Source organism: Homo sapiens, chromosome X (assembly GCF_000001405.40).
Source record: "Homo sapiens chromosome X, GRCh38.p14 Primary Assembly".
Classification (NCBI taxonomy): Eukaryota; Metazoa; Chordata; class Mammalia; order Primates; family Hominidae; genus Homo; species Homo sapiens.
The window spans coordinates 22,734,723-22,747,341 of record NC_000023.11 but is presented as its reverse complement, the minus strand read 5'-3'; the positions used below and the strand labels follow the sequence as shown (position 1 = coordinate 22,747,341).

At 37.1% G+C, this 12,619-nt stretch overlaps 1 long non-coding RNA gene across 1 annotated transcript in view; it reads left to right on the top strand.

Annotated features, from left to right (window-relative positions):
• PTCHD1-AS (PTCHD1 and PHEX antisense RNA) overlaps window positions 1-12,619 on the top strand; it is a 1,100,142-nt gene that overhangs the window by 545,805 nt on the left and 541,718 nt on the right. Inside the window, exon 4 of the long non-coding RNA NR_073010.2 lies at window positions 4,004-4,113. This is a non-coding gene — a long non-coding RNA (PTCHD1 and PHEX antisense RNA). The remainder of the gene's footprint in view (window positions 1-4,003; window positions 4,114-12,619) is intronic.

Genomic DNA, 12,619 nt, shown 5'->3' with positions numbered 1-12,619 from the left:
TAAATGCCAAATCTTCTCCCATCTTAACTCATATGAGAATAATAAAAGTCATTTAAATGGAGGTTGCCATGTGTTCATTTATTCAAGAAAACTTTGTTGAACACTTAGTAAGTACAAGGCACCATATTAAGGTAGAAAGGTGAATAAGATAAGTACAGCTCTTTTCTTCATTGAGCTTATGGTCTAGCATCCTTACTAATTCAGTATCTAAAATAGCTAATCACTTGGGTTGTATAATTTAGCATCCATTAGAAGCACTCCAAGAGGCTTGGCTGGGGGGCATTTGTAGGTCACTCAAATGAAATGTTAACTCCTTCTAGGCTTTATTTAGCAAGTCAAACTTAACACCTTCAATATAGGCAATTAGGATCAAAAGGTGTTAAAGCACATTCAGGCACAAAGCCATCTATCAAATTAAATTACTTAATCTTTCAACTAGTTGCTTTTAAAGTAAATGACCCTCCAAAGTTAGTGGGCATTAGTGTGGCCTAATGTTCAAATGCAGTTTAAAATCTAAATGCTGATATTCTAAACAGATCACACTCACCCTCCCATGAAATGTATCCTTGATTTTAGACTTTTCCCCTTAAGAGATGTTTAAAAGTAGGTATCTCCTCTTTCTACAGAGAACAGGGCCATTTTTTTTAGAGTAGTCATCAGTGTGCCATTGTAAGTGGAAATTGTGCATTATGAACTGAACAATTCCAGGAATTCTATGTCTAACCTTGGGTTCTCCCAAAAGTATATCACGAGACAAGAAGTGGGTTCAGGTAGTTAATTATAAGAAGTGCATACAAGAAGGCAGGGGAAGTGAGACAGAGAAGGGAAAAATCCCTAAAAGAATTTTAATAAGCAGGTTATCTCAGTGGACTCCTAGGCCTCAGTCCTATTGAGGACCCTCTGAGCAACCATGTAGAACGTGCTTCAGAATAATTCCATCAGAGAACAAAGTAATATGAAATATTTATCTGCCAACTCTCAGCCATTATGGGTTGCGGGTAATCCCTAGGGCGGTTAAGTTTCAGAGGCTTCTAGGCTTCCCAACAAGCAGGCTGGGCAAGCTGCCACAGTTGCAGAGAAAGCCCTTGCATGGAGAAGCAGTGAAAACAGGCACTTGCAGTGGAAAGTTATCAGCATACTAGGAAGTGTTCACTACACCTACATGTTTATTTAAAGGTGGGCTGAGGGGATATGAGGCGGAGCATCCCCAGCATTGGTACACCCTGCAAATTGCTGTAAACTGGATTTGCTTAAAAAAGAACCATGATTAGCTAACATTTGACAAAATGTTGGTCCATAGGCTTATTTGGAAACAATACTTTGTTTTCTGCAACGCGTCCAAAGAAAATTTGTGTACATGTAGATTTATAGCACTTAAAATCTTATCACAGTAATGTTTATTTCATCGTATCAAAAACTGCATATCATCATTTCTTCTTGCCCATACCCGTGATTTTTCTGAGGGCTAAGAGGAAAAGGGTATTCAATGGAGCAGTTCGCCTCTACAACAGAGAAAACAAGGGATGTTAAGTTCAGGGTGCCATTCATGCCACATTTATTCATTGATGATAGTAATACCTTGTGCTTCTTTACCAGCTTTTCCCATTTGGCCTGATGACAACATCCTTGGAGTGTCAGAGAAGTTATTATGACCTTTACTTTACAGCTGAAGAAACTTTGTTTTGTTAAAACCATGAATTGTGCACTTGGGATGTACTCTATATTGGGTTAGATGTTCTCCCTTAAGATAGTTCAGTTAATCTTGCCCAGAAACTTGGGTATTTTTGTCCTTGTTTTAGGGATGAAAATTCTGATCAGGGACTGGTGGAGTTCCCATGAGGCAAGAAAGTCTGGTAGCAAGACCCAGTTCCTGAAGCTTCAACTTCAGTGTTCATTCCCCTGAAACACTTGACCTTTCCAGGTTGTCACCAGATTCCCCCAACGTTCCCCAACAGATATCTAGTCTTACATGTTACAACTTTCATAGGACCTTGCATGGTACCAAATTTGTTGAGTGAGTACATTCTACACAATCACAACACACTGAAGATATTTTTTATCTGTGCAAACTTGACCTCCATCCAGATGAGAGCTGATTTGATTAAAAGGTTCATGAGACAACACCCGCTGATCAATCAATGTTTTATGTAATCTACTTCCTTCTGCTTTCTACCAGCTTTCACTTGGTTAGTTACGCCTGGGTATTCTACTTATTGACTAGGCTCCAAGGCCACATGTGAACTGGCTTTTCCTTATGTCTACAGCCTCATCTCACAGGGAGCTCCCTCTCATTCTCTCAGGTGTAGCCACATTGGCCTCCTGTTCATCTCTCTTACATGCCGTGCTCTGTGTCATCGGTGCAGCATTGAACATGCTGTTTCCTCTACCAACAATGTTGTTGCCCTTTGTCATCACCAAGTAAACTCCTGCTTATGCTTCAGATCTCAGCTCAAGCATCACTTTTTCAGGGAATCTTCTCTAACTTATCCTCTGTAGACTCTAATAACACTATGTGTCTCTTTGTTGCTATTATTAGAACTTTATAATTTATGTGTGTGTGTGTGTGTGAAGATTTAATCAATATGTGTCTCTCATACCATCTTGCATGATCCATTACAGCAAAATCCTTATTTGTTTGGACTTACCAATGTACCCCCCAGCACCTAGCAGCCAGCTACCATAGGGCCTTACACATGGCAAGCACTCAGTAAATATGTCTTGAATAAAATATATCAATCTATGTTAATAATTCCTCTGAGTTGGACCTAGAGTCTTGTTCTCAGCCCTAGTGTTTCTCACTTAGGAAAGTACTGCCCCACCCTGGGGGCATTTGGAAATGCCTAAGGGTGTTTTCTGGTTGTCAGGATGACTAACTGCAACTAACGGGATTTGGTGGCAGAAGGGATAATGATCATGTCACGTGTGGATAGTCTATCCAAGGAATAATTGTTTCACCCAAAATACCAGTAGAACCCTGTGAAACACTGCAAGAAAGATTATGTATTACAATAGTAGGCATCTAAAGTGTCTAAAAATTGTGGAGTTTGGGGCTTTTAAAATTCTTTATGATATAACTATACATATTTATGGGGTACAGTGTGATTATTTACATGACTTATACAGTGTATAGGCACAAGTTTATGTGTGGATGTGCATATGTGTGTGTGACTGCTCTTTTTAGTTAATCTTATGTCAATTAGTAATTAGTTTACAGATTATTTTCCCAAGTGGTGTCAGAAAGAAGGGCTGCAGGGAAGCAGAAGGAAATGGCGATAGGAAAACTGTCTGACAGATCAGAAATGTTAAACCTAAAAATGACAAGGGGGGGTCCCATGTTAATCTGATTTATACTGCTGATATTTCCCTATATATTTCCTAAGTTCTTTCTTGCTTTTCTATTTTTATCTGGCTTCTTATTTCTTCTCCAGGTTAACTCCCCATTCTGACACGTTCATGTGTTTGCTTTCTTCCTTTTAGTTCAAACAGAGAATTGAGATTAATTTTCTGTACTGTTTGTGTCCAGAGTCACAGCCTGTGGTTGCGATAGAGAAGCTTGCTAAAGCCTGTGTCAGTGTTTCTGTTATACCATGAGAGCAGTCCAAATGTCAGTGGTAAAGTTTCCTTTACTAGACTGAAAAAAATCATTTTCATCATACCTTTCCTGCATCAGATGCCTGGAAAAATACGGGGCAGAGATGAAAACTACTGTAAGATAATGGGACAAAGCACTAGATGGGGACTCCAGACACTGGGGAGCCCTACTGACCAACTCGAAATCATTTAACCTCTTTTGACCTTGGTTTTACCATTTTAAAATAATCAGAAGGCCAGACAAGATAGCCTCTAGGGTCCTTTTCTGATCTAAAATTGAGTTTTCAAGTTTGACAAGGGATAAGGGAGGAGAAAAAAAGATATAGGAGATGTTATCTTGGAAACTAGGTAGGTGTATGCCTTACCATGTATGAAATTGTAAATCATGTCTTATTTCTTTGGAATAGTACAGAAGCTTCTATTCTGGAATAGAACAGCTAGCATACTACCAAGACTTTTCAAGGAGCAAGAATGGAGCTCCCTGGAGAACTGACTGAACATGGCTTCAGAGGCAGTATCCATGTAAGTAACTACATAAGAGTTTAAGTGGGCCATGGGGATAAACCCACGCTTTAATCCCACTTTCTGACTGTCTTCTATACACCAGGCTTGTACTTATCCACTCTAAACCATTGTTTCCTCAAGTGGAAAATGGGAAGGATGGTAGCACCCACTTCACAGGATTATGGTAACTAAGTGAAAAAATGTCACATGAAAACATGTCTTAGCACATGGTAAGTGCTCCATAAATAATTGATGTGATTACTATAAGCAAGCTAAACTGATCAAGAATGGAACCATTTAATAAATGATTCTTTGGTTACCAGAATTCTGCCCCCACTGCAACCCACCTCTTCCGGAATGGCTGATAAATGCTTGCATGAAATAGCCACTCAAATGGCTGCTACCAGTCAAATGCTGATAAAAGATATATTTAAAAGGTATTACTTATTACTTTTTATTGAAAAGGTATGATTACTTTTTATAAATTTATTTCTGTTCTTAAAACTGCTACAGATGGTTCTGACTTTTGAATTAATCACACTGATCTAGGAAAAGGCCACATTTACTGTTTAGTCTATCGTGGATTATGGAGCCTCATGTGACTCACTGATAATTTTCTTTTATTATTCCTTCCAGAGACATAGAGACAAAAAGTGCCCTCACTTTTACTGTATTTTGACCTGGACCAGTCTACATTTATATGAATAGCTACAAAGCAGCTTTCAGCACAAGGCTGTAGGGTAGGTTCAGATTTGGCCTCTCCATTAATTAGTAAGTACCATTAGCTGGGCAGACAGCTGCCAAAGGGACTTTCTCCACACTCCCATGAGTTGGTCACAGAGATGTTACTGTACTTTTTTACTCATCACCATGATTAATTGCTGCACTTAGTTCATAATTTCCCCTGGGAGTTAACCCCTAGCTTGGGATAAACACTAAGGTTTTGTCAAATCCTCCCATTCTAAGATTGGAATATTGTTGCATCATCCTGTTGGATGATTCAGGATTTTAAAAGTTCAGAGCACTCTGATATTCCGACAATTATATACACATTGTTTTCAGTCTTCTTCTGCTTTATGATCCTTGTTTATATTTCTTTGTGTCATTCTTTTTAGTAATTATTTCCATCGTTTCTTAAGCATAAACATGTTCTAACTGGCTGTGCGGTAGTGTTTCAATAGAGCTCGTCATTTCTAGGCAAGCTCTTCTAATAATATTTTATATTTTTAATTTATCTCCTTATATTTTGCTGTAATATGGGTTTCATTGATTTTTAAAATGAGTTTTGTTTGTTGTAATATAAGGTTAATTCTGTTATGTGCCAGAATTATACATTTGACAGTTTTCCATGGAATTATTTCAATTGGCAAATTAAATAAACTCAGACTATAGCCTCAGTATTAGTATTCTTAATGGATACACTTTTTAAAAGTAAAGACAAATTCCCTGACCTAAATAGTTAGGCAGAAAATGAGACATGTAAAGTAAAATCAGTATTTCGTTTCTTTGAAACTTTATTGTGACTTGAAACAGTGCAACAAAATATCAGTCTAATGCCATATTACTGATTTTACCAGTGCTGTAATTTTTAAATAATAAATGTATACTTTACTGATTAATGACTTGAGAGCTGCTTACTCTTCATCAACGTAAAACTGCTCTTCAAGTTTCCCATTCCACCTCTGCGGTATCACTTACTTTCAATAAGCTCATCTCTCATTTAATTTAAAATGTAAGGTAGTACATTCAATAGCTCTCTACATCAATTGTTTTTAACTAGATTAATTTATGCCTATGTAAGTATAAATAAGGCCTTGAAGTTGCTTGCGTGATAAATAATAAATAAAATACAAATTGTTGAACAGATCAATGGAAAAGGAAATAAGAGTGGATTAATAAAATAAAACCAGAAGATACAATTAGTTTAAGAAATGCCTACTGTAAAATCCCATTAAATCACTAGAAGTAGAATGTAGATTTGGCTCTGAGCTTCCCAGTAGCCAAAGCAAAAAGAACTGCATTATTTGCAAGGTTGACTGTTTTTGTAATATGTTTTAAGGTTTTGTTTCACAAAAAACCATCTTTTCCTGATATGAGCATGAAGAGATATTTCTCTTGAGAGTCCTGATGAACAGCTTGTTACAGGATATGAAACACATTGTCCTCAACGTCACTCTGACAGTAATTTCGAAGGGAAGTTTCTGTATTTTTGTTTCTCAAAAACGTGAATTGTAGCAGTAATGCCAAAGCAATATTCAGTAACACCAGTTTTACATGTAACCAAAACAATGGAATACAAGTTTGGGAACAATGACATTACATGTTTTATCCAAGAATAATATTTGGCTACTCCCGAAGAATGAATGACCTTTATATTCTTCATTCACAAATATATATTTATGTGAATAAAAATAGAATACAAGTACAACACTATTATATTTTTATTTATTCAGTCACCTGTGATTTGGGGTTCAAAGTATTGACAAGGACACCTGAATTTTTCTCTAATATACTCTGAGATGGCTTTTTTTGAAGTGTTTTTGTTTTGTTTTGTTTTGTTTTGTTTTGTTTTGTTTTGTTTTGAGATGGGGTCTCACTCTGTCACCCAGGCTGGAGTGCAGTGGCATGATCTCAGCTCACTGCAACCTCTGCCCCCTGAGCTCAAGCGATCCTCCTTCCCCAGCCTCCCAAGTAGCTGGGACCACAGATGCACGCCACCACACCCGACTAAGTTTTTGTATTTTTGGTAGAGATGGCATTTCATCATGTTGCCCTTGCTGGTCTTGAACTCCTGGCTTCAAGTGATCCGCCCGTCTCAGCCTCCCAAAATGCTGAGATTGCAGGCATGAGCCACCACACCCAGCCAGCTTTTTGAAGTTTTGGTACAGTAATTACCTGGAGTAAACAAGGTGGTGATACAGGAATACCTGAACAGTGCAGAAGGCTTAAGGAAGTAAAAGGTTAGAATAGATTTATTTTGTGATAACAGTGAACCCACCACCTGACCGTATTCCCCAGAGGGGTCATAGGACAGTTCCTTCACTCAGGCAATAAGAAATGGCAATGATCAACGAAATGTCCTCTGAAGGCTAGGGTAGACAGAAAGACATGCTGCCATGCAATTGGACCTCCTAATATCAATGGAGAAAAGAGGGAAATTCCGGAATGGTAGAGGCCAAAAGCAACACTTAACCTTCAGAGGCAAGGCAGTCTTTGTCTCAGATGCTGATTTTTGGGAAACCCCAAGATAAGACAATGATGAAGGCAAAAACCAACTCATTTTACTGGATTATTTTATTTGTATTGCTACGTAATAATTGTACATATTTAGGGAGTACATGTGATATTTTGATACATGCATACAATGTGTAATGATCAAATAAGAGTATTTAGGATACCCATCACCTCAAACATTCATCGTTTCTTTGTGTTGAGAACACTTCACATTTTCTTTTCTAGCTATTTTGAAATATACAGTAAATTATTGTTAACTATGCAATATAGAATTACTTGCTACTTTACTTATTTCTTAGCACTTACAAGTTTAAATTCACTTAAAATGTTATGACCTAGAAAGGCCTACATATTTTCATTATGACAGTACAGCACTTCATCATTTAGTAAGTCTTTTTTCTGGTTTCTTCTCCCTACCTCCCCATTTTTAATAATTGAAACCACTTTGCTTTTGATCATCCCAAGCACTTAAGTGACATAAGTCTTTCAGCTGCTGGATGAATAATGTATTTATAATATTCATAACTGCGTGTAAAATAAACAGCTCATTTGTTTCTATTAACGTAGTCGTTTTGAAGTCTGTTCTTCCTCTCAGATTCTTTTGCCAATTTAGAAGTGAAAATATATATATAGAAATTGATTCAGTCTTAATGACTCCCACTTAATTCTTCAAACTGGAAAGTAGCTGGGTAAATGACTCACTATGGAACTATTTCTTACCATTACAAATGTTCTCCAGCTACTCTCAGTAAAATACCTTTATAAAACACCTAATATGTGCCCAGTATAATGCTAATTTAAAAAGAACTCCTGGCCGGGCGTGGCAGCTCACGCCTGTAATCCCAGCACTTTGGGAGGCCAAGGCAGGTGGATCACCTGAGGTCAGGAGTTCGAGACCAGCCTGACCAACATGGTGAAACCCCATCTCTACTAAAAATACAAAAACGTTAGCTGGGCGTGGTGGCGGGCACCTCCAGCTACTCGGGAGGCTAAGACAAGAGAATCGCTTGAACCCGGGAGGTAAAGATTGCAGTAAGCCAAGATCACGCCACTGCACTCCTGCCTGGGTGACAGAGCAAAACTCCATTTCAAAAACCAACCAACCAAACAAACAACAACAACAGCAACAGAAAACAAAAACTCCTTAAAGCTACTCAGGATTGGATATAAATTTTATATAGACATCCCCAAAGATGTAAGTACTGAGATATAATCCCTGAAAAAAGATAGTTACATACATTTGGATCAACAAAAGTGTTTGACTATCTTTGCCCTGGCCTCAGGTAGGTCTATAAGAAGACTTTAAGGATAAACCAAAGGTAATAATAAATAAGTTAACATACACTGGAAGGATAAGCACTGGGAAAACTGAGCAAGGAGTGAAGTTTATCTTTAATCTCCCTCTTCCCCTTTCTGTATCTTCTAGTATCTGAGATCCCTGCTATCTGTCAAAAGCCTATTGGGCATTTCATTCCAGACCAGTCACCCCCTCAGTAAAGCTTTACACCATAATAGGTGTGTGTTAGGAGCTTGGTGCCAGGGGATCTTGAAAACTGAGAGACCTCTAAACCCCAAAGCTATGATTCTGTAATGGGGTGATTTCAAGCATTGCTGCAAGTTAAAATTTTAGGGTAAAAAAGCATTATTCCTTAGGATTTGCCAAGCACTTTTTGTACCTAGAGGCAAAAGAGCCCTAAAATCACTTCTCCATGAAACTTTCTTTGACACAGAAACTTAGAATTGTCCTGTTAAATCTTAACAGCTAATGGTGATCATCTGGTGGTTGTGTGATTTTCTTATAAAACACAGCTTTTTTAGGATTGTTTGAGTTTTCCAGTGTGTCTTTCTTGCAAGTATCCTCTCTTATTTAGAACATAATCTTGGCAAGAAGCTGTGTGACTATTTGCCTTGACTTGCTTGGACCAAACACAAGCAGTCAAAATAAATTTAAAAGATGAAAATGATGATTCATTTGAGGTATTTTTTTAAGGTCCTCGCATGTGTCCTAGAAACTAGGTTCTTTGACACTATTTCATTTTGGGGGTCAAAGAAGAGAAAGCTCCAGGATCTGTCAAATTAGTTTTTAAAGGAATATGTGTAAGAAAGCTAGGGAAGGATTTTTTTTCCCCAGTAATGTATGCCATACCACATTTAAAATAAGGAGCAGTAAATGCATGGAGTAATATTTTGTATGCACAGATGGATATATAAATTAGTACCTCCTATTTTAAATGGAATGCTTCCAAAAGTCTTCTATTCTTCCTTCCTGGAACAGGCAGTTCAGGGATGACATAGAGACTAATAGATGGAGTGTTTTAGAAGGGATTTAAGCCCGGGGTGAATGGTTGGACTAACCGACCATTAAGACCATTTCCAAACCAGATGTTCTATGATTTTATGAAACCATATATGAAGCCTATTATCATGTTTCTAGGTTTCTTTTTCAAAATTAATTATATTAAGTTCACAAATAATTTTCCTAGCATGCTTCACATTGTCTCAAGCTATGATATAATGTTTGGTTGAGTTTTAGTTAAGAGACCATGTGCGTTTAAAAAAAAAGATATATACATAGTACCTAAAACTACCAGAAAAACAGTGATGACTGGAAATCTCACTTATTAACATCTTTAGTAGAAACAATACATGGTACAGAGGGTTAAAGAAAGATAAGACGTGTATGCTTATGGAGAAAAGGGGTCACGCTAACCAAGAACTTTTTTATTTTTGAAAGACACAAGGTAAGGTTTATGACAGGGAGCCCATCAGTCTTAAAATCATGCTTTCTGACTCAAATCTAAATATCAGTATTGAATATTGTGTTATAATGAATAACACTTGCACCGCCTTGTTTGTTTCAAACAATATGATGTTATCAAACACCACTCTCAGTATGTCAATAAATACAATTGTGTATACTTCAGTTATACAGAGAGTTAATATAAGTTCAATAACTGGCATATTTGTTATTAAATAGGATTGTAATAACAGGTCTTGGTGTTTCTGGACTGTAGCACAGCTAGGTGAATCGTCCTCCCTGACATTGAGCATCAAAAAGTCTTTTTACTTGCCACTCATTTTGCAAGGTCTCAGGGGACAGACGTTTTGCAAACTCTGTGAAATCTTAATAACAGCCTAAAGGAGAGATTGCAAATGTAAATGAACAGCCACAGCCCCTTTAAACATGACTATATCACACAGATGCTATACATAGCAGCTGAAAGCCAAATAATGGTTTGAACTGAACATGACTGGACGATTAAGGTCACCTTCCGCAGCTTTATAAGCAGTTTCTTATTATAATGGTCTTCTGACATTTTTTCTCCTATGACATAATTGTTGCAAGAGGTTGACATTCTCATTGGCTCATGGGAACATTTCCTTCTTTCATTTGCCTTTTAGTCATGTGTCTGAACTTTTATTTGGTATTTCCTCTTTACAGTGAATCCTAATATCAATGAGATTCAATACAATAACTTTTCTAGAACTTGATTGAAGGTATTGGTGTTTTTTTCAAGTATTTGCTACTTATTACTGGCTATACCTTTTTTCTTTAAAAGTATACTTTTCTATTTATGATGGACAATTTGAAAAATATAAGAAAATGATCACCATGATCTCATGATCCAATGAGCTAAAATATTGTATTTTAAATTCTTTCAGAACCTGTTCTATGCATATATGCATATAAAAATGAAGTTTGACTTACTGCAAATAAGTTTATCTTGCTTTTGCCTTTTTATGATTGGTTATTTTATATATAACAAGAATATCATACACACGTGAGATATGTGAATAAGGGTAATATAAATACCCCTGAACTCACAATCATGCTTGAGAGATGCAACATTTGAAGTTCCCCATGGGCACCCTATATTGCCCTCTCCAACACTATCCCCTTCTCTATCCCACTCCCCAAAGTGGACACTCTTCTCAATGTGGAGTGACTGCTCTGTCAATTTTCTTTATATTTTTGCTACACTGGCATGGTGACTCTCAAATAATGATACTGAACTTTAGGAAATCTTCTGCAACTTTTTTTCACTCAACATTTTGTTTATGAGAATCATCCATTTTGAAATATATGAACATTTCACTTCTATATGGTATTCCCTATTGAAAATATACCATTTTTATTTATCTGTTTCATATCAATGGATGTTTAAAAGCATTAGTATGAACACTTCCCTATCAATGGATATTAAAAACAACAGTGGTATGAACATTTTCACCCATATCTCTTAATGAAAATGTGCAAGTGTTTCCTTAGGGTCTAAATCTAAAGTGCAATTACTGGGTTGCAGGACGTGCTCAAAATTCAACTTTATTAGATAAAAATATTTTACCAGAATGGTTCTTCCAATTTATACTTTCCCTAGTAGCATAAAAGTGTTCCTGTTATATCTTGCTTTTATCACTTAATATGATTAGCTTTTTCTCAAGTTCAGATGGTCTGTCTTTCTCTAGGCTCTCTCTACCTCATCAAAATGCTTGCACAATCATGTGATTTTCCTCCATATGCCAAATCTTGAGTAGACAGCCCATAGGAGGCTCTAAGCAGGCTAATCAACATGGAGACACTCCAGAAATAGTTGAAAATAAGGCTTGTTGCCAAATATATGAAATATTTTTGCTCATCTCTTTGTACAGTAGTCTCTCAGGATGTCTTTTGAGTACCACGCATACATATCCTCCATACACATATCCTTTAAATATAGCTTAAAAACCATAGCAGAGCAAATTGTCCTTCCTACTATATATGTCCTTGTTTATCTTTCTTCATCTCTTTTCACTTTATAGCACTGGTAGCAACTGGTAAACAGTACAGGATATCAACACACAATTTTTGTTGTAAAACAACGGATAAAAATCTGTTTGTTCAATCAGAAGTAAGAGTGAAAAAAAATAAGGTTGACTCAGGGTCAGCATAGCAAATAGATGGCGTGCTCTACTGGAAAAACTGAGGAAAGCTTAATACGGGGCATACTGGCAATTGTATGAGCAGGATTAAGAAGGGGAACTAACAAGGCACAACAGAGTCTCCAGACTAGCAACAGTGGGGAGCCATTACCACCACTTGGGCCTGAAGATACAGCAGGAGGGAATGATTACTGGCATGGAGGAGGAGTAGCCTTCAGGAGAGAAAAGGAGCCCCTGTTAATTTTGTCAAACAGGAAATGAGCAAGGAAAATAAATATCTTCACCTCACACTCATTCTTGTTGATTTCCAGTAGGTTTTTTTCCATTGGCTCCACCCAACTGAATGTCAGAGAACAAGAAAACTAATTTG